Here is a 22,051-nt window from a genome sequence, read left to right as displayed (position 1 = left end):
TGGCATAGACAAAACAATTTGATTTGAAGTTAAATAGGAGGAATGTTTGTATTTTGTTTATTAAACATCAAGTGAAAGTCTGAAGCCCAACAGCAACTGTAGAAAGCTCCTTCTGCAGGGTCTTATGCTGGAGTTGCACTGTACTATTTAATAGTAGAGAAGTTAATTCATATACTTTTTCTGATTTAATATCACCATTTCCAAGAGTTCTGCTTGGAATTCTGTAACATTTTTTGAGTTTAATATTTATACCCTTCTCTAATAGGGCAGTCTAGTTGAATTAGAAGCTATGGTTATTTAGTAAAGTACCCAAAATATAATTTTGCTTTCTACACTCTGAGTTATGAGTTACACTACTGGAAATATTGTATAGTACAATATTGTAATTACTTTGAATTACAATATAAGTAATTGTAATGATTAAAAATTAGTTTATTCTTGCTAGTTTATATAATTTGATGTTGAGGTTATACAAAAAAAAACACTCATTGATTAACTTAGGAGGCAGATACTTGAATATGCTTTGTTTTTTCACCTTTAGTTTTTAGAACAGAGAGCCAAAATTCGACTTCTTCACTTCACTGCAGCTGCATATTATCACCTGAATGCTGTTAGAATTCAAAGAGCCTATAAACTTTACCTGGCTGTGAAGAATGCTAACAAGCAGGTTAATTCAGTCATCTGTATTCAGGTTTGCTTCTTCTTTGCAGTAAAACTATATGATATAATTTTTCTGTTAGAAATTTTTGATATGTAATAAACAATTTCCAAATGCTTTATGCTAAGGTCGTACAACATTTAGCCTTTCACCTTATAGCTGTTACAATGATTTGAGGGTTAGAAATAGATTGATGTTTTATGGCACAGTACTAAAGTTGTGAATTATTGTCTGATGTAATTGTACTCATTTACATTCCTGCCAGCAAAGTCTTGAGGGTACCCTGTTTCTCTACATGCTTGCCAACATAAAGTATCAGAAGACTTTCTGATTTTTGCCATTCTAATGAATGGGAAATAGCATCTCATTTTTGTTTTGGATTTACTTGATGGCTAATGATTCTGAAATTATATTCTATATGTTGGTTATTCAAGTTCTTATCTGTGTACTTTTTTTTAACATCTTTTTCTCATACACTTTGCCCGTTTTTCCATTGGCTGTTCTTTTTTGTTATGATTTATAGGAGTTCTTTATGTATTTTGAAGAAGAATTCTATTTGTTTATATACATTAACATACATTTACATATAAAGTATTTAGTAAAAAAAATGCAGAATGATACATGCAGTTTGGTAGAATTGTAAAATGAAGACATTGTTGTCCAGGATTAAATATACTCCTGTGCATGTGTGTGCACACACACACACACACAGGCACCCAACATGGACTGGAAAGGTTTTTGCACCAAGTGGAGTGGGGAAGTAATGCCTCTGTGGAAAGCTGAAAGATTTCTTGATATACTGTTCTATTTCTTTCATTTATGTATAAATGTATATTTGTATATTTTTTTAAAAAAACCTGAAGTAGAAATGAAAAACAAAATTCTATGTTTTAAACAGAGATGGTTTCGAGCAAGATTACAAGAAAAGAGATTTATTCAGAAATATCATAGCATCAAAAAGATTGAGCATGAAGGTCAAGAATGTCTGAGCCAGCGAAATAGGGCTGCATCAGTAATACAGAAAGCAGTGCGCCATTTTCTCCTCCGTAAAAAGCAGGAAAAATTCACTAGTGGAATCATTAAAATTCAGGTAATTGAAACTTGTATAGTTTTAGTTCAAAACTTTAGTTTGCAATTCATCTACATGATATCTAACACTATAAAAACATAGTTACCATTTTAAAAAGCTAACGCATTAGCCGGTAGAATAACTCATAAGCACTATACTACCATAATTTCATTGCTAAGCTCTTTATTTTCAAATGCTCTAGAGGAGGTTTATAATCAAGAAGTAAAAATATTTTAACATTTTGAATAAATTTAGACATCTTTGGTCGATAAATGCTGTCCAGTTTACATATAGGAATATTATCTGTATTTCTTTTTTTGAAAGTTGATTTTGCTATTTATTTGAACTTGAGATTTTAATTGAAATGTATGTGATCATGTCAAATAAATTTACTGAAAATGTTTACATTGTGAAAACAGATGTAGATATAAATAGAAAACATTGGCTATAATCTTAAAATTACTCTGTTTTATCTCTTTAAGGCATTATGGAGAGGCTATTCTTGGAGGAAGAAAAATGATTGTACAAAAATTAAAGCTATACGACTAAGTCTTCAAGTTGTTAATAGGGAGATTCGAGAAGAAAACAAACTCTACAAAAGAACTGCACTTGCACTTCATTACCTTTTGACATATAAGCACCTTTCTGCCATTCTTGAGGCCTTAAAACACCTAGGTTAGTTTGTGTTAACATGTTTAAAGAATGATGTAATACTACATTATTAGCTAAAACTTCATTTTGTTGCTGTAAATTTACCTGTGTGTGTGTGTTTTTTTTTTCTTTCAGAGGTAGTTACTAGATTGTCTCCACTTTGTTGTGAGAACATGGCCCAGAGTGGAGCAATTTCTAAAATATTTGTTTTGATCCGAAGTTGTAATCGCAGTATTCCTTGTATGGAAGTCATCAGATATGCTGTGCAAGTCTTGCTTAATGTATCTAAGGTAGTTTTTCATTTTATTAATGAGATATTCACTGGTCAACAAATATGCCCCTGCAAATTAAGTTTGGGTTTACTCATCACTAGGGCTTAAATCTCTAAGTTAAATTCATTTATGTGCAAGAGTCTTAGGATGAAAAAATGTTTATTAACATAAATGTAGATTTAAGTACCAATTTTTATATTATTTCCTCAGTCTTTATAATATTAAAAACAATGATGATTAATAATATTAAAAACAATGATGATTAAAAGTTATTAAGTACTTACTACATGCTAGTATTTTTCATGCATTGTTTAATCCTCATAATAATCCTCTAAAGTAGTTCATATTATTATTCCCATTTTATAGAGAAAAAATAATAATAATTATAGAAATTAGGTTCCTCCTGTAAGAACCTGAGTGTGATAAGTGGTAGAGTTGAATTTGGATTCATTTCTGTCTGCCTTTAGAGGTGGTGATGTTATCTACTGCATTATATCAAAATAGTATTACCACATTATAATCATGTCTAGCAAAGTGTGTGAAAGAAAAATATTGCTATAACTTAGTTACTCTGTAATTGTTAATCTGTGTATCAGAATTTGTCTTTTGGCCTTGGACTATTCCAAACTATATTGTATGCAACCAAAGGTTGAAAGATTTCTCTTTCCTACTCAACCTTTCAGTGACAACTTAAAGCGCTTTACCCAATATTTTTATTTTGAGAGGTAGTGGTTAAGAACACAGATCTGAGGCCAAACTGCTTGAGTTTGAATCCCAGCTCAGTAGCTTATTATAGGTTACTTAGCTTCTCTGTACTTTACTTTCTGCAACTATAAAATGAGTATAGTAACAGTACTCAAAACTGTTACTATACACATTGAGTTAATACACATTAATACATAAACATGCCATACAAAGGGTCAGCTATGTTGTTTTGTTATTTTTATCTTAGTATCATTATTTGTTACCATGCAAATTTCACTATGAATCTAATAATACAATTAGAAAAATGAGGCGTGGAAAATATATCCTAGACTTACTAGCATCATATGTATTTTGTTTTATTTTCGAGCAAGCTCTTCTTCCTCTCAAGGAGCATGTAATAGAGTAACTAATTAGATCCTGCCTTTATCATTATCTTACCTATGATTAATAATACCACAGATAAGTTATCTTTTTCCTTAGAGATTCTTACTAAAGTGGTCTTATCTTTAAAAGTTTGCTTTTATTGACTTCAAGATGTTTGTTTTCAGAGGTTTTAAATTTGATTTATTTTATGTGAAACTTTAGAATTAGGGGGAAAAGATTAAGATTAAAATGTGAATACACATATATGATAGATCCGTAAATAATGATAATATCAAAGCTATTTCACAAAGTCCTTTGCACTTGCTGCAGGTGGTCCAAAAATTTGGCTATACTAAGTATGGACTTTTGTATTTTGTTTTTTTGGTTGGGTTGTTTGTAAATGTATGTGTTTATTACAACTTTTAATTTCATTCTGTTCTCTTCAAGTATGAGAAAACTACTTCAGCAGTTTATGATGTAGAAAATTGTATAGATATACTATTGGAGCTTTTGCAGATATACCGAGAAAAGCCTGGTAATAAAGTTGCAGACAAAGGCGGAAGCATTTTTACAAAAACTTGTTGTTTGTTGGCTATTTTACTGAAGACAACAAATAGAGCCTCTGTAAGTATTAGTCAGTTGCCTTTCTTTAAGATTATTTTTCTGTGGTCTTAAGTCTATGACTTTTATAGTTTTCCTTTAGTAATTATCACTCTAAAATAGGGTTTTATGTGTGTTCAAACCTGCTTTTTGCACGGATAAAATGAATTCAGGATGTATCTATGAGTTGTTTCTTTCTGACTATTAAAGAAACTGAATTCTGAAAATAAATTTATTACAGCCATATAAGTAACCATTTCCCATTTACTAGAGAGAAAAGTATCCTAGCAAGATAGAAAACCAGATAGGTATAACTTCTTATCCTCCTGTTGTAACCATAATTGTATTTCAAGCTTTTCTACGATGAGACCTCTGAGTCATTCTTTTTAAGTGTCATAATTAACATGGGGAAACCATAGGCCATAATTGGACTGTGGCCTTTATCCTGGTAAGTGGGAACCGCTGCAGGGTAAAGCAAGGGAATAATATTTTCCAATTTAAATTTTAACAACACTCTGGCTTCTGATTGAAGAATGAATTTGGGAGAGCATGTGTGGATATAGTGAGACCATCAAAGAAGGTGGCAAGTGTTGATATGTAGTGATCTAGGCAAGAGATTGTGCTTGTCTTAGGATTGTGTCGCTGAGAGGTAAGTAGAAGACTTTGGAAACTGCAGAGGTAAACTTTTCAAGACTTGGTAACTGGATATGATAGGTGTGTTGACTATAATTGCTATGTTGACTATAATAATTCCTTCTTATATTCAGTGTGGAGTTAAGTATGCAACTTTTGAATATTTATCTTCCTTATAATTGCCTTGCAAATTAGCTCGTAATTTAAATCAATCTACCTGCCAAACTTGGTGAGGTTTCTTTGATTATTCAAAGCTTAAAAGTTTACTGCAGGCTGGGCACGGTGGCTCACGCCTGTAATCCCAGCACTTTGGGAGGCTGAGGTAGGCAGATCACGAGGTCAGGAGATTGAGACCATCCTGGCTCACACGGTGAAACTCCATCTCTACTAAAAATACAAAAAAAATTAGCCGGGTGTGGTGGCGGGTGCCTGTAATCCCAGCTACTTGGGAGACTGAGGCAGGAGAATGGCGTGAACCCGGGAGGCAGAGATTGCATTGAGCTAAGATCGCACCACTGCACTTCAGCCTGGGCGACAGAGCAAGAGAGACCATCTCAAAAAAGAAAAAAAAAAGGTTTACTGCATAGTTTTTATTATATTTGATTTTGCTAGTCTAAAAGAGATAAAATTTTAATTCTTATTACTTTTTAGTAACTGTGCATTTTATTTTGTAGGATGTACGAAGTAGGTCCAAAGTTGTTGACCGTATTTACAGTCTCTACAAACTTACAGCTCATAAACATAAAATGAATACTGAAAGAATACTTTACAAGCAAAAGAAGAATTCTTCTATAAGCATTCCTTTTATCCCAGAAACACCTGTAAGGACCAGAATAGTTTCAAGGTAAGCAATTAAATATAGTCCATAAATTTGTGTCACTGTTCATTCATTCATTTAACAAATATTTATTGAGCACTTACCATAAACAAGATGTGCTTTTCAGTGGAGAAACAACATATGAATAAGAATGGAATGTTTGGTAAATTTAAAAGAAGCAGTCTTGGTAAATAAAGAAATAACATTATACTGTAGCTTTGGACATTTAATAGTTATTCAACAAACTTCTTATATTAAATAGTTAAGAGCTAAGGCTAAGAAGCTTGTTATAAGTTTTGTCATTTTATTTTATTTATTTTATTTTGCATGAAAGACAAACTACACTGTTTAAGAAGTGCCAAAAGTCCTTCTTAGCCAAAATATCAACCTCCAGTCCTCCCATAATCACCCTGATTCTTGAAATTTCTCCTTCTGGAAATTTAGATTGACATTTTCTGATTTTATTGGCAAAAAGATTTAATTTATTTTGGTGAACCGTCATGGCATTTAATTAGTGTTTTTACTCCCTTCCTTCTTTCTCCCTCCTCCTTTTTTTCTTCCCCCTTCTCCCTCTCTCCCTCCCTTCCTTCCTTCTTTCCTTCTTGAGACTTAGCAATTCTCTATACTAGGTACAAATCCTACATTATTGACAACACACTATTTCTTGACCTGAGTGGTTACACAGCCATTAGCTTTATAATTATACTCATAATTATAAACTGTATAATGTAGTTATAAATTGGTTTTATGCATGCATATTTCACAGCATAATGTAAAGTTCATTTGCTTGAAATATATTAATGGGACCATTTCTACATGTTTTTTAAGGACTTGGTAGAATTTAATATTCATTATGTTTTAAAAGCTCATACTAACATATGAATGGATTCTCTTAAAATTTTGATGTAGGTCAGGCTTTTGAGGTAAAATTTACTGACAGTATAAATGCATCCTTTAAATGTATGCAATTCAATTCGTTTTGACAAATGTATACAGTTAGGAAACTACCACCACTGAGATACAAAATATTTCTGTAACACAAAGTTTCCTTATGCCCCTTTGTTGTCAGTTCTCTTTCTTTATTCCCTGGATTTTGGGAACTACTGATCTGATTTTTGTACCTTTAGTTTTGCCATTTCTATACTGTCACATATATGGAATCATATAGTAGATAGCTTTTTGTGACTGGATTCTTTTCCTTAGCATAATGCTTTTGAAATTCGTTCATGTTTATGCATGGATTTGAATTTCATTCCTTTCTATCACTTAGTACTATTCCATTGTATGGTCGTACCACACTTTGTTCACTCACCAATTGATATATCTTTGGATTTTTAGCAGGACAAAATAAGATGATGGAAATGCATATAGTAGGGAATTATGTGAGAAGATGCATGAACTCCCTCGGTTTGATACTATTTTCTCAATAAGTTTGAGATTATAAACTCAACAACTCAGAAGCAGCTCAGAGGGTATGGAGGGGAAGTTTGAAAAGAGGAAAGGACCAAGATAGTCATCTTGGAGAGAAAGGGAGCATGCTGGCAATTTCAAATGCTCATTTTAGATTTGTAATTATTGGCAAAAAATAAAATCAGCTTGGTTGTGTAAACATTTTTAGTAATATGCAGCTGTATAGGAATGGAGAAGGCAGATATTTTGACTCAATTTGAAATCCAAGTAGAATTCTTCAGACTAGTTTGGTAGGAGAGAGAGACAACAGTTAATGGCATTTGCAAAGGTTTTGATAATACTGATGCACCTGAGCTAGATACACAGGAAAGTAAGGACAGCATTCTGGTGGATGTTGGGTATGTGTTGAGGCCAAATGAAGTGGAGATCTCAGTGGGGTAGAAGAACTGGTTCAATGACTGTGTTAGAGCATATGACATGGATGAATCAGAAATGGTGGATGGAGAATGGAAGTCTCAAGATTTCAGTGGTCGCACACTTTCTGATGATGACAAAGTCTAGTATGTGATCATATTAAAAAGGATTGGTTGAGGTAGAATTGAAGGAAAGTGGGGCAAAAACGGACTAGGTTGTTGGCTTTTTGGCCACATAGATGTTGCTGTTGCTGAGAACGGTGACAGTAGGTAAGAGGAGAACAAGAACCAGGTTTACAAGGAATAAGACACTGAGAGTTTGGCTGATGACCAAAAGGCAGTGGTCAAGCTAAATAGCATAAGCTTCAAAGAAGCCAGCATTATTTTTTAGAAAGGATGGAGAGAAATAGTCTGGAACTAGTGATGGGCAATAATATGAAGTTCTCCCACCTCTTTGAGCAGTTTGTAAGGGAAATGATGTGTTCAGGAGTAGCTACAATTTAGTTAAGAGAAAAAAGGTGAAGGTAACTCTAAAGAGAAGAACTTTATTAATGCCAGACTTTTTTTTTTTTTTTAACAGACTTAAGCCAGATTGGGTTTTGAGAAGAGATAACATGGAAGAAATCACAAATCCCCTGCAAGCTATTCAAATGGTGATGGATACGCTTGGCATTCCTTATTAGTAAATGTAAACATTTTCAGTATGTATAGTGTAAAGAAATATTAAAGCCAATCATGAGTACGTAAAGTGATTTTTGCTCTCCGTGTACAACTTTTAAAATCTGACTTTGTTTTAAAAAAACATAAACTGTTCATTACATTCTTCATTTTTATCATTTATAGTTTTATGCATGTAATAAACTAATATGTCATAAGATGATTATATTATTCCTGTCTATTATCTTAAAGTATTATAGTAGTTTCAATGTAATCTTATTACTAAAAGGAAATAATAGCTGATTACACCTTTTTTATAGGTAAGTTGAGGAATTTTCATAAAACAAATGTTAGAAATTGAAGTTCTGTCTACTCACTAAGAAGTGAGACTAGGATAAAATAATCTCACAAATTCATATCAATGGCATCCTTATCTATATCCTTGACTGGCTAAAGCATCCAGATAAGCAAGTGAGCCCTTCTAGGCTCACAAAAAGAATACACCCACCACTGTATTTACTAAAAATTCTTACCATTGAACTGATGGGGGTTATAATTTGAAGTGGAAGGAACATGCTATTGCTTATAATAGAATCTTGTTGTGTAGTTATACACCACAGACCTGAAAATGATTCAGTATTGAAATGTGATTTTTTTTCTACTCTTTGAGTCACTATTACTAGTATCTGTGGTTTCAGGGCCACAGATGTCTAATTCTTATGGCTGAAATCTGAATAGAGTCTCAAAGTCTGCCCATGGGAGTTAGAATCCCTGGGCTCATCCTTTTCTTTCATCACTTTGTTCAGTGAACTTAGGAGTATCAACTAACTTCATTATATTCCTTGGTTCTCCACATATGGTCAAAGGTATTATTTATAGAGACACTAAACTCCTTGCTTCTCAGGAGCAGTTAATAAGGAGTATCAAATGCATTTATTTTGCATAACTCTCTAAACAATTCACATAAAAAACTATCAGTGTTCTCCATACTATTAGAAATAGAGTCCTTAGCATTTTTGGATCTAATCAGATTAAACAGCCAACTCCAGAAACCCCAAAACCAGCTAAAGAAATCCATCCTTAAAACTCTGTTCCTCTAGAACAACTACTGGTACCAAAATCTGTATTAGTCAGGGCTCTCCAGAGGGAAAGAACTAATAGTATATATGTATACATGAAAGGAAATTCATTAGGGAGAATTGGCTCACGTGATCAAATGGAGAAGTCTTAGGATAAGCCGTCTGCAAGCCGGAGAAGAAAGAAGCCAGTAGTGGCTCAATTTGAATCCAACAGTCTCAAAAGCAAGGAAGCCAGCAGTTCAGCCTTGAGCCTGTGTCTAAAGGCCTGAGAGCCCCCAGCAAACCACTGGTGTGATTCCAAGAGTCCAAAGGCCAGAGAACCTGCAGTCTGATGTCCAAAGGCAGTAGGAACAGAAGAAAGCATTCAGCGTGGGAGAAAGATGGAAGCCAGAAGACTCAGCAAGCCAGTTTTTCCCACCCTCTTTCACCTGCTTTGTTCCAGTTGTGCTGGCAGCTGGTTGGATGGTGCCCACCCACATTGAGGGTGGGTCTCCCTCTCCCAGTCCACTGACTCAAATGTCAATCTCGGGTCTCTATCTCTCAGTCCACTGACTCAAATTTCAATCTCCTCTGGCAACACCCTCACAGACACATCAAGAAACAATACTTTACCAGCTATCCAGGCATCCTTAAATGCAATCAAGTTGATATCTAATGTATTAGTCTGTTTTCACACTGCTGATAAAGACATACCCGAGTCTAGTTAATTTATACAGGAAAAAGGGTATAAGGGACTTACAGTTACATGTGGCTGGGGACACCTTGCAATCCTGGCAAAAGGCAAGGAGGAGCAAGTCAAGTCTTACGTGGATGGCAGCAGGCAAAAAGAACCTGTGCAGGGAAGCTCCACCTTATAAAGCCATCAAATCTTGTGAGACTTATTTAATATCAGAAGAACAGCACAGGGAAAAGTACCCATGATTCAGTTACCTCTTACTGGGTCCCTCCCACAACACGTGGGAATTCAAGGTGACATTTGGGTGGAGAAACAGCCAAAACATATCATTCTGTCCCTGGACCATACCAAATCTCATATCCTCATATTTCTAAACCAATCATACCTTCCCAACCATCCCAAGTCTTAACCCATTTCAGCATTAACTCAAAAGTTCACAGTCAAAAGTCTCATCCAAGACAAGGCAAGTTTCTTTTATGTATGAGCCTGGAAAATCAAAAGCAGGCTAGTTACTTCCTAGATGCAGTGAGGGTATAAGCATTAGGTAAATACAGCCATTCCAAATGGGAGAAATTGACCAAAACAAAGAACTGCAGGCCCCATGCAAGTCTGAAATCCAGCAAGGCAGTCAAATCTTAAAGCTCTAAAATGATCTCCTTTGAATCCATGTCTCACATCCAGGTCACGCTGATGCAAGAGGTAGGTTCCCATGGTCTTGGGCAGCTCTCCCCCTGTGGCTTTTCAGGGAACAGCCTCTCTTCCAGCTGCTTTCATGGGCTGGGGTTGAATGTCTACAGCTTTTCCAAGTGCAGGTGCAAGCTGCTGGTGGATCTACCATTCTGGGTTGCGGAAGATGGTGGCCTTCCTCTCACAGCTCCAATAGGAACATGGTGGCCTTCCTCTCACAGCTCCAATAGGTGGTACCCCAGTAAGGACTCTGTGTGGGGACTCTGACCCCACATTTCCCTTCTCACTGCCCTAGCAGGGATTCTCCATGAGGGCCCCGCCCCTCCAGCAAACTTCTGCCTGGGCATCCAGGCATTCCCATACATCCTCTGAAATCTAGGTGGAGGTTCCCAAACCCCAATTATTGACTTCTGTGCACTGGCAGGCTCAATACCACATGGAAGCTGCCAAGGCTTGAGGTTTGCACCCTCTAAAGCCATGTTCCGAGATCTACATTGACTCCTTTCCACCTTGGCTCAAGCGGCTGGGATGCAGGTCAGCAAGTTCCTAGGTTGCACACAGCATGAGGATCCTGGGCTCAGCCCACGAAACCACTTTTTCCTCCTAATCCTCCAGGCCTGTAATGGGAGTGGCTGCTATGAAGACCTCTTAACATGCCCTGGAGACATTTTCCCCATTGTTTTGGAGATTAACATTTGGGTCCTCATTACTTATGCAAATTTCTGCAGCTGGCTTACATTTCTCCTCAGGAAATGGGACTTTCTTTTCTATCACATTGTTAGGCTACAAATTTTCCTGACTTTTGTGCTCTGCTTCCCCTACAAAACTGAATGCCTTTAACAGCACTCAAGTCACCTCTTGAATGCTTTGCTGCTTAGAAATTTCTTCCACCAGATACCCTAAATCATCTCTCTCAAGTTCAAAGATCCACAAATATCTGGGGCAGAGGCAAAATGCCACCAGGGGGTCACCTTTACCCCAGTTCCCAACAAGTTCCTCATCTCCATCTGAGACCACCTCATCCTGGATTTCATTGTCCATATCACTGTCAGCATTTTGGACAAAGCCATTCAACAAGTCTGTAGGAAGTTCCATACTTTCTCACATTTTTCTGTCTTTGAGCCCTCCAAACTGTTCCAAACTCTGCCTGTTACCCAGTTCCAAAGTCGCTTCAACATTTTCAGGTATTTTTTCAGCAGTACCCCATTCCTGGTATCAATTTACTCTATTATTCCATTTTCAGGCTGCTGATAAAGGCATATTCAAGACTGGGTAATTTATACAGGAAAAGGGGTTTAATGTACTTACAGTTCCACGTGGCTGGGGAAGCCTTACAATCATGGCAGAAGGCAAGGAGGAGCAAGTCACGTCTTACAAGGATGTCAGGGAAAAAGAGCTTGTGCAGGGAAACTCTGCCTTTTAAAGCCATCAGATCTCATGAGTCTTATTCACTATCAGGAGAACAGCACAGGAAATATCTGCCCCCTTGATTCAATCACCTCCCACTGGGTCCCTCCCATGATATGTGGGAATTCAAGATGAGATTTGAGTGGAGACACAGCCAAATCATATCATCTAATATTAACCATCATGGGGGCCAAATGCTTCCTTTTATTAGGAACTAACACCCACAATAACTAACCTACCCCCCTTGAAAATAGCATTAATCCTTCCATGAGGATCGAGATCTCACGACCTAATTATATCTTAAATGTCCCACCTCCCAACACCTTTACATTGGAGATTACGTTTCCAACATACGAACTTTGGGGAACACTTGCAAATCATAGCAGACATTAGTATCCAAAATATATGAGTAACTCCTATAACTTAATAGGAAAATAAATTACCTGATTTTAAAACTGGCAAAGAAGACATATAAATTGCTAACAGGTATATGAAAATGTGTTCAACATCACTAATCATTAGGTAAATGCAAATCAAAACTACAATGAGATGTCAGCTCAGACCTGTTATTGGTCAGAAAGTGGAGAAAAGGAAACCTTTATACATGGTTAGTGGAAATGTAAAAAAGGTGCAGCTATAGAAAACAATATGGAGGTTTCTTTAAAAAATTAAAAGTAGAATTACCATTTGATCGAGAAATCTCACTTCTGAATATATGTCCAAAGGAATTAAACTCAGTACCTCAAAGAGGTGTCTGTACTCCAATGTTCATTGCAGGATTATTTACAGTAGTCAAGATATGGAAACAAGTGTTCACTGATGAAAGAATTTTCAAAAGCAGTACAGTTGTCTCTTTAATAACATGGGTTTAAACCATGTAAGTGCACTCCTATGCAGATTTTTTTTTCAATATATATGTTGGAAAACTTTTTGGAGATTTGTGATAATTTGAAAAAACATGCAGGTAAACTGTGTAACCTAGAAACGTTAAAAACATTAAGAAAAAGTTAGATATACCATGCATGCATAAATATATGTGGATAATAGTCTTTTATTATATACTACCATAAAATATACACAAATCTATTGAAAGAAGTCAAAATGTATTAAAATTTACACACACAAACACCTGCAGACCATACATGAGACCATTCACAGTGGAGATAAATGTAAATAAGCATAAATATGCAGTATTAAATCATAACCACATAAAATTAATTGTATATACTGTACTACTGTGATAATTTCATAGCCACCTCCTGTTATTATGTAATGAGCTCCAGTGTTGTATCTGCTTAAAATGCCATGTGATGCTAATCATTTCCATGTGAGCAGTTCATCACTCTAGTAAATTGTGTATTGCAGTAAAAAGAGATCTCTCACGGTTTTTGTGTATTCTTCATTGTATTTAGTGCGATACTGTAAACCTTGAATAACAATAGGAAGCACACACCAAGTGCTACTAGTGAACTGCAAGGGCTCACAAGAAGCAAAGAAAAGTCATGATACTAAAAGAAAAGTTTGAATTGCTTGATATGTACTGCAGATTGAGGTCTGCAGATGAAGTTGCCCACAATTTCAAGGTAAATGAATATAGGATAAGGAACATTGTAAAGAAAGAAAAGGAAATTTGGATAGCCATCACTGCATCTATGCCAACAGGGACAAAAACCTTGCACTTTTTGAAAAATATCTTTCTGTATTGAGAATGTAGCTTTTATGTAGGTGCAAGATTGTTATAGGAAAGGCACCCTTATAGACTATAACATAATTCATAAAAAAACAAAGTCATTATATGACAACTTACAGCCAAAGGGAAGTAAAGGAGTTAAAGCTGGAAAATTTAATGGCAGCAAAAGACAGTTTGATAATTTTAGAAAAAGTTTTGGTTTTAAAAATGTCAGGAAACAGAAGTAGCTTCTGCCAACCTAGAAGCAGCAGATGAATTCCCAGGTGCCATTAAGAAAATCATTGAGAAGAAAGGATATCTGTCTGAATGCACTTTAAATGCAGACAAAAATGTCCTAAATAAAAGAAACTGACACAAAGGACATTTATTAGTAAGGAAGACAAGCAAGTACCATGATTTAAGTCAGGAAGGGGTATGCTAACTCTACCATTTAGTGTAAATGCAGTCGGGTTTATGATCAGGACTGCCCTTATCTATAAAGTTGGTAACTCCTGGGCCTTGAAAGGAAAAGAGAAACACCTGTTGCCAGTCTCTTGGTTGTATGACAAGAGAACCTCAGTTGAACAATGAGAACTCTATTTCTGGATTGGTTCCATGGATGCTTTGTCCCTGAAGCTAGGAAGTACCTTGCCAGTAAGGAACTTCCTATTACTGTACTTTTGATATTGGACAATGCCCCAGCCATGCAAAACCGCATGAGTTCAACAGTGAAGAGGTAGAAGTCATCTTCTTTCCCCCAAATACAACTCAATTTGGCCTCTAGATCAGGGGTTATAAGGATCTTTAAGGCTCATTACACACATTACCATATGGAAAAGATTGTCAATGCTCTGGAAGAGAATCCAGATAGAGAACCCCTGAAAGAAAGAGCATCATAAAAGTCTGGAAGAATTACACTACTGAAGATGTCATTTGTTGTTGTATAAATAGCTGTGAATGCCATCGATCATAAAACAATAAATTCCTGCTGCAGAGAACTGTCCAGATGTGCATGCCTTCACAGGATTTACAATGGAGCCAATCAAGGAAGAGTGTGGATATGGCAAAAGAAAAAAAAAAGGTAAGGAGTGAAAGGTTTAAAGATATGAATTTTGCAGAAATTCAAGAGGTAATAGACACCACAGCAGAGAAATTAATAGAAGACTTGATGGAGAAGAGGGCTTCTGAACCAGTGCCAAATTATGAGGAAGAAGATAGAGAAGAAGCAGTGCCAGAAAACAAATTTACATTAGACAATCTGGCAGAAGGGTTCTGATTATTCAAGACTGCTTTTGACTTCTTTTATGACATGGACCCTTCTATGATATGGGCAGAGAAACTAAAGCAAATGGGGAAAGAAAGATTGGTACTGTGTAGAAACATTTTTAGAGAAATGAAAAAAGAAAACATCAGAGATTACAATGCATTTCCATAAAGTTACACAAAGTTTGCCTGCCTTTCCTGCTTCCACTTCCACTTCTTCCACCTCTTTTGCCTCTGCCACTCCTGAGACAACAAGAATAACTCCTCCTTTTTTCAAAATGAAGATGACAAGGATAAAGCCTTTATGATGATCCACTTTCACTTAGTAAATATATTTCCTCCTTTTATGATTTTATTAGTTACATTTTCTTTCTTCTAGCTTACTCTATTGTAAGAATATGGTCTATAACATATAATAAAAAAAGTGTGTTAATCATCTATTTGTGTTATTGGTAAGGCTTTCAGTTCACAACATGGTATTAGTAGTTAAGTCTTGGGAGAGTCAAGTTATATGTAGAATTTTGACTGTGCAGAGAGTCAGCAGCCCTAACCCCCACTTTTTTAAGGCTCAACTTTATATGCATACAATGACATATTATACAGTCTAAAAAAGGAAGAAAATCCTGCCACTGACAGCAACAAGGATGGACCTGGAGGACATTATGTGGAGTGAAATAACTAGACACAGAAAGACAAATACTCCATCCTCTCATTTATGTGTGGAATTTAAAACAGTCAAACAAGTGGAAACAGAGAGTAAAATGGTGGTGGTTGCTAGGGGATTGCAGGGAAGAGAAAATAAAGAGGTTTTGGTCAAAGGCAACAAAGTTTCAGTTATGCAAAATGAATACATTCTGGAGACCTATTGTTGAAAAATTAGGTTAATTGAAGCATTTAAAAATTAGTAAGAAAACGATAGTAAAATGTTAATGATAGCATCTAGGTAGAGGTTTTGTGTGAAAAAAATATTTGAAAATAAGCAGATGTCAATGATTTTTATAAATTGTAAGTAACCCAAATTTACATAAATAGTTGAATGGATAAATTATGGCATATTTACAGAATGCAATACTATTTAGAAAAGGTGCTATCTACTGTATCCTCAAATGGATAAATCTCAGAACCAAAATGTTAAACAAAAGGAACCAGACATAAAAATATACATGTATTTCCCATATGATTCCATTTATATAGTATAAAACTACTGATTGATCTATGTTATTAGAAGTCAAGATAATGTTTAACACTAGGGTAGATGTAGGCAGTAACTTGGTAGGGGGATTTTGGGGTGCTGGTATATTCCTTCTTTGTTCTGGGTTGTGGATTCATGGATGTCTTAGACTTGTGAGAATTCTTAACATATGTACACTTTTCTGTTAATACATTTAATAAAAAATACAAAATTGAAATAATAATAGCTTCTGCCTTGCAGAATTATTTTGTACTCTATTTTATTTTATTTTTATTTCCATAGGCTATTGGGGGAACAGGCTGTATTTGGTTACATGAGTAAGTTCTTTAGCAGTGATCTGTGAGATTTTGGTGCACCCATCACCCAACCAGTATACGCTGAACCAAATTTGTAGTGTTTTATCCCTCAGCCCCCTTCCACCTTTCTCCAGAATCCCCAAAATCCATTGTATCATTCTTATGCCTTTGCATCCTCATAGCTTAGCTCCCAATTATGAGTGAGAACATATGATATTTGGCTTTCCATTTCTGAGTTACTTCACTTAGAATAATTGTCTCCAGTTCCATTCATGTTGCTGTGAATGCCATTAACTCATTCCTTTTTATGGCTGAGTAGTATTCCATCCTGTATATATATCACAATTTTTTATCCACTCATTGATTGATGTTGATGGACATTTGGGCTGGTTCCATATTTTTGCAATTGTGAATTGTGATGTTATTAACATCACCTGCTTGTGCAAGTATCTTTTTTGTATAATGACTTATTTTCCTCTGGGTAGATAACCAGTAATGGGATTGCTGGATCAAATGGTAGTTCTACTTTTAGTTCTTTAAGGAATCTCCACACTGTTTTCCACAGTAGTTGTACTAGTTTACATTCCCACCAACAGTATAGAAGTGTTCCCTTTTCACTGAATCCACACCAACATCTATTATTATTATTTTTTTATTATGGCCATTGCAGGAGTAAGGTGGTATTGCATTGTGGTTTAGATTTGGATTTCCTGATCATGAGTGATGTTGAACATTTTTTCACACATTTGTTGGCCATTTGTATATCTTCTTTTGAGAATTGTCTGTTTATGTCCTTAGACTACTTTTGGATGGGATTGTTTTTTTTTTTTATTGCTTATTTGTTTAAGTTCTTTGTAGATTCTAGACATTAGTCCTTTGACAAATGCATAGATTGTGAAGACTTTCTCCCTGTTTATTCTGCTGACTGTTCCTTTTGCCATGCAGAAGCTCTTTAGTTTAATTAAGTCCCATCTATTAATCTTTGTTTTTGTTGCATTTGCTTTTGGGTTCTTGGTCATGAAGTCTTTGCCTAAGCCAATGTCTAAAAGGGTTTTTCCAATGTTATCTTCTAGAATTTTTATAGTTTCATGTCTTAGATTTAAGTCCTTGATCCATCTTGAGTTGATTTTTTTTGTGTAAGGTGAGAGATGAGTATCCAATTTCATTCTCCTACATATGGCTTGACAATTATCCCAGCACCATTTGTTGAATAGGGTGTCCTTTCCCACTTTATGTTTTTGTTTGACTTGTTGAAGATCAGTTGGCTGTAACTATTTGGGTTTATTTCTGGGTTCTCCATTCTGTTCCATTGGTCTATGTGCCTATTTTTATACCAGTACCATGATGTTTTGGTGCCTATGGCCTTATAGTATAGTGTGAAGTCAGGTAACATGATGCCTCCAAATGATTTGTTCTTTTTGCTTAGTCTTGCTTTGGGTGTGTGGGCTCTCTTTTTGGTTTCATATACACTTTAGTATTGTTTTTTCTAGTTCTGTGAAGAATGATGATGGTATTTTGATAGGAATTGCATTGAATTTGTAAACTGCTTTTGGCAGTATGGTCATTTTCACAATATTGATTCCACTCATCGATGAGCATGGGATGTGTTTCCATTTGTGTCATCTATGATTTCTTTCAGCTGTGTTTTGTAGTTCTCTTTGTAGAGGCCTTTCACCTTTTTGGTTAGGTATATTCCTAAGTATTTTTTGTATTTTTTTTTTCTTGCAGCTATTGTAAAAGGAGTTGAGTTCTTGATTTGATCCTCAGCTTGGTTGCTGTTGGTGTATAGGAGAGCTACTGACTTGTGTACATTAATTTTGTGTACAGAAACTTTGCTGAATTCTTTCATCAGTTCCAGGAGCTTTGTGGAGGAGTCCTTAGGGTTTTCTAGATATACAATCATATCATCAGTAAACAGTGAAAGTTTGACTTCCTCTTTACCAATTTGGTTTCCCTTTATTTCTTTCTCTTGTCTGATTTTTCTAGCTAGGAATTCCAGCACTATGTTGAAGAGAACTGGTGAGAGTGGGCATCCTTATCTTGTTCCAGTTTTCAGAGGGAATGCTTTCGACTTTTCCCCATTCAGTATTATGTTTGTTGTGGATTCGTCATAGATGGCTTTTACTACATTGAGGTATGTCCCTCGTATGCCAATTTCACTAAGCGTTTTAATCATAAAGGGATGCTGGATTTTGTCAAATGATTTTACTGTGTTTACTGAGATGATCATGTGATTTTGTTTTTAATTCTGTTTATGTGGTGTATCGCATTTACTGACTTGGGTATGTATGTTAAACAATCCCTGCAGTATGAAACCCACTTGATCATTGTGGATTATCTTTTTGATATGTTATTGGATTCAGTTAGCTAGTATTTTGTTAAGGATTTTTATTTCTGTGTTCACCAGGGATATTGGCCTGTAGTTTTCTTTTTTTTTGTCATGTCCTTTCCTGGTTTTGGTGTTAGGGTGATACTGGCTTCATAGAATGAATTAGGGAGGATTCCCTCTTTCTCTGTCTTGTGAAATGGTGTCAATAGGAGTGGCACCAATTTTTCTTTGAGTGTCTGGTATAATTCTGTTGTGAATCCCTGGCCCTGGAATTGTTGTTGGTAATTTTTTTGTTACCACTTCAATCTCACTGCTTGTTATTGGTCTGTTCAGGGTATCTAATTCTTCCTGATTTAAGCTAGGAGGGTTGTATTTTCCAGGAATTTATTCATCTCTTCTAGGTTTTCTTTTTCTTTTACTTTTTCTTTTTTTTTTTTTGAGATGGAGTCTTGCTCTGTTGCCCAGGCTGGAGTGCAGTGGCGGGATCTTGGCTCACTGCAAGCTCTGCCTCCCAGGTTCACGCCATTCTCCTTCCTCAGCCTCCCTAGTAGCTGGGAGCTGTTACAGGTGCCCACCACCATGCCCGGCTAATTTTTTTTTTTGTATTTTTAGTAGAGACGGGGTTTCACTGTGTTAGCCAGGATGGTCTCAATCTCCTGACCTCGTGATCCTCCCGCCTCGGCCTCCCAAAGTGCTGGGATTACAGGTGTAAGCCACCGCTCCCGGCCCATCTCTTCTAGGTTTTCTAGTTTATGCATGTAATGGTGTTCATAGTAGATTTGACTGATCTTTTTCTGTGGTGTCAGTTGTATTATCTCCCGTTTCATTTCTAATTGAACTTATTTGGATTTTATTCCTTCTTTTCTTGGTTATTCTTGGTTAATATAATGGTCTATCAATTTTATTTATCTTTTCAAAGAACCAGCTTCTTGTTTCATTCATATTTAAAACAATTTTTTTTGTTTCAATTTCATTTAGTTCTGCTCTGATCTTGGTTATTTCCTTTCTTCTGCTGGGCTTAGGTTTGGTTTGTTCTTATTTCTCTAGTTCCTTGAGGTGTGACCTTAAATTATCTGTTGGTGCTCTTTCAGACTTTTTGATGTAGGCCTTTAGGACAATGAACTTTCCTCTTAGCACCACCTTTTGCTGTATCCCAGAGGTTTTGATAGGTTATGTCACTATTGTCATTCAGTTCAAATAATTTTTTAATTTCCATCTTTCATTGTTGGCCCAATGATCATTCAGGAGCAGGTTATTTAATTTCCATGTATTTGCATGGTTTTGAAGATTCCTTTTGGAGTTAATTTTCACCTTATTCCACTGTGGTCTGAGAGAGTGTTTGACATAATTTTTTTTTTTAATTTATTGAGGCTCATTTTGTGGCCTATCATATGGTCTATCTTGTAGAAAGTTCCATGTGCTGATGAATAGAATGTATATTCTGTGGTTGTTGGGTAGAATCTTCTGTATATATCTGCTAAGTCCATTTGTCCCAGGGTATAGTTTAAATCCATTTTGTTGTTGTTGTTGTTGTTGACTTTCTGTCTTGGTGACATATCTAGTGCAGTGGTATATTGAAGTCCCCCACTAGTATTGTGTTGCTGTCTGTCTCATTTCTTAGGTCTAGTAGTAATTGTTTTATAAATTTGGGAGTTCCAGTGTTAGGTACATGTATAATTAAGATTGTGATATTTTCCTGTTGGACAAGGCCTTTTATCATTATATAATGTCCTTCTTTGTCTTTCTTAACTGCTGTTGCTTTGAAGTTTGTTTTGTCTGATATAAGAATAGCTACTCCTGCTCACTTTTGGTGTCCATTTGCATGGGGTGTCTTTTTTCACCCCTTTACCTTAAGTTTATGTGAGTCCATATGTGTTAGGTGAGTCTCTTAAAGGCAGCAGATAGTTGGTTGGTGAATTCTTACCCATTCTGCAATTCTGTATCTTTTAAGTGGAACATTTAGGCCATTTACATTCAACATTAGTATTGAAATGTGAGGTACCATTCCATTCATCATGCTATTTGTTGCCTGAATACCTTGATTTTATTTATTTAAGTATTTATTTATTTACTGTATTTTTGTTTTATGGGTCCTGTGAGGTTCATGCTTTAATGAAGCTCTGTTTTGTTGTGTTTCCAGGATTTGTTTCAAGATTTAGAGCTCTTTTCAGCAGTTCTTGTAGTGCTGGCTTGGTAGTGGCAAATTCTCTCAGCATTTGTTTGTCTAAAAAAGACTGTATCTTTCCTTCATTTATGAAGCCTAGCTTTTCTGGATACAAAATTCTTAGCTGATAATTATTTTTTTTAAGGAGGCTGAAGATAGGTCCCCAATCCCTTCTAGCTTATAGGATTTCTGCTTAGAAATCTGCTGTGAATCTGATAGGTTTTCTTTTGTATGTTACCTGGTGCTTTTGCCTCACAGCTCTTAAGATTCTTTCGTCTTGACTTCAGATAAACTGATGACTATGTGCCTAGGTGAAGATTTATTTATTTATTTATTTTGAGATGGTGTCTCGCTCTGCTGCCAGGCTGGAGTGCAGTGGCGCGATCTCAGCTCACTGCAACCTCTGCCTCCTGGCTTCAAGTGATTCTCTTGCCTCAGCCTCCTGAGTAGCTAGGACTACAGGCATGGCACCACGCCCAGCTAATTTTTGTATTTTTAGTAAAGATGGGGTTTCACCATGTTGGCCAAGACGGTCTTGATCTCTTGACCTCGTGATCTGCCCACCTCATCCTCCCAAAGTGTTGAGATTACAGGCATAAGCCACCACACTTAGCTGCAATAATCTTTTTTTTTTTTTTTTGAGATGGAGTCTTGCTCTGTCGCCAGGCTGGAGTGCAGTGGCACGATCTCAACTCACTGCAACCTCCACCTCTTGGGTTCAAGCAATTGCCGTGCATCAGCCTCCCACGTAGTTGGGGTTACAGGCATATGCCACCATGCCCAGCTAAATTTTTTTTTTTTTTTTGTATTTTAGTAGAGACAGGGTTTCACCATTTTGGCCAAGATGGTCTTGATTTCCTGACCTCATGATCCACCTCCCTCGGCCTCCCAAAGTGCTGGGATTACAGGCATGAGCCACTGTGCCCGGCCGTAATGATATTTTTATGATGATTTCCCAAGTGTTCTTTGAGCTTCTTGTGTATGGATGGCTAGATTTCTAGCAAGGCCAGGGAAGTTTTTTTTTTTCAATTATTTCCCTAA

The 22,051-nt window shown here is 36.1% G+C and overlaps 1 protein-coding gene across 2 annotated transcripts in view, besides 1 other annotated feature; it reads left to right on the top strand.

The window, feature by feature from the left end:
• ASPM (assembly factor for spindle microtubules) overlaps positions 1-8,471 on the top strand; it is a 62,543-nt gene extending 54,072 nt beyond the window's left edge. For both annotated transcript variants that reach the window (NM_001206846.2, NM_018136.5), the window contains 7 exons: positions 542-691; positions 1,557-1,748; positions 2,210-2,402; positions 2,514-2,668; positions 4,166-4,342; positions 5,626-5,795; positions 8,172-8,471. In NM_001206846.2, the coding sequence (NP_001193775.1) occupies positions 542-691; positions 1,557-1,748; positions 2,210-2,402; positions 2,514-2,668; positions 4,166-4,342; positions 5,626-5,795; positions 8,172-8,274 (1,140 nt within the window). In that variant the 3' untranslated portion in view covers positions 8,275-8,471. The remainder of the gene's footprint in view (positions 1-541; positions 692-1,556; positions 1,749-2,209; positions 2,403-2,513; positions 2,669-4,165; positions 4,343-5,625; positions 5,796-8,171) is intronic.
• Positions 12,033-12,233: a silencer, noted in NCBI's record as "peak640 fragment used in MPRA reporter construct". NCBI's record gives its function as "represses an SCP1 promoter by STARR-seq MPRAs in K562 erythroleukemia cells {active_cell/tissue: K562}" and the evidence as "EXISTENCE:reporter gene assay evidence [ECO:0000049][PMID:32103011]".

Source organism: Homo sapiens, chromosome 1 (assembly GCF_000001405.40).
Source record: "Homo sapiens chromosome 1, GRCh38.p14 Primary Assembly".
Lineage (NCBI taxonomy): Eukaryota > Metazoa > Chordata > Mammalia > Primates > Hominidae > Homo > Homo sapiens.
This window is presented reverse-complemented; position numbering and strand designations above follow the sequence as displayed.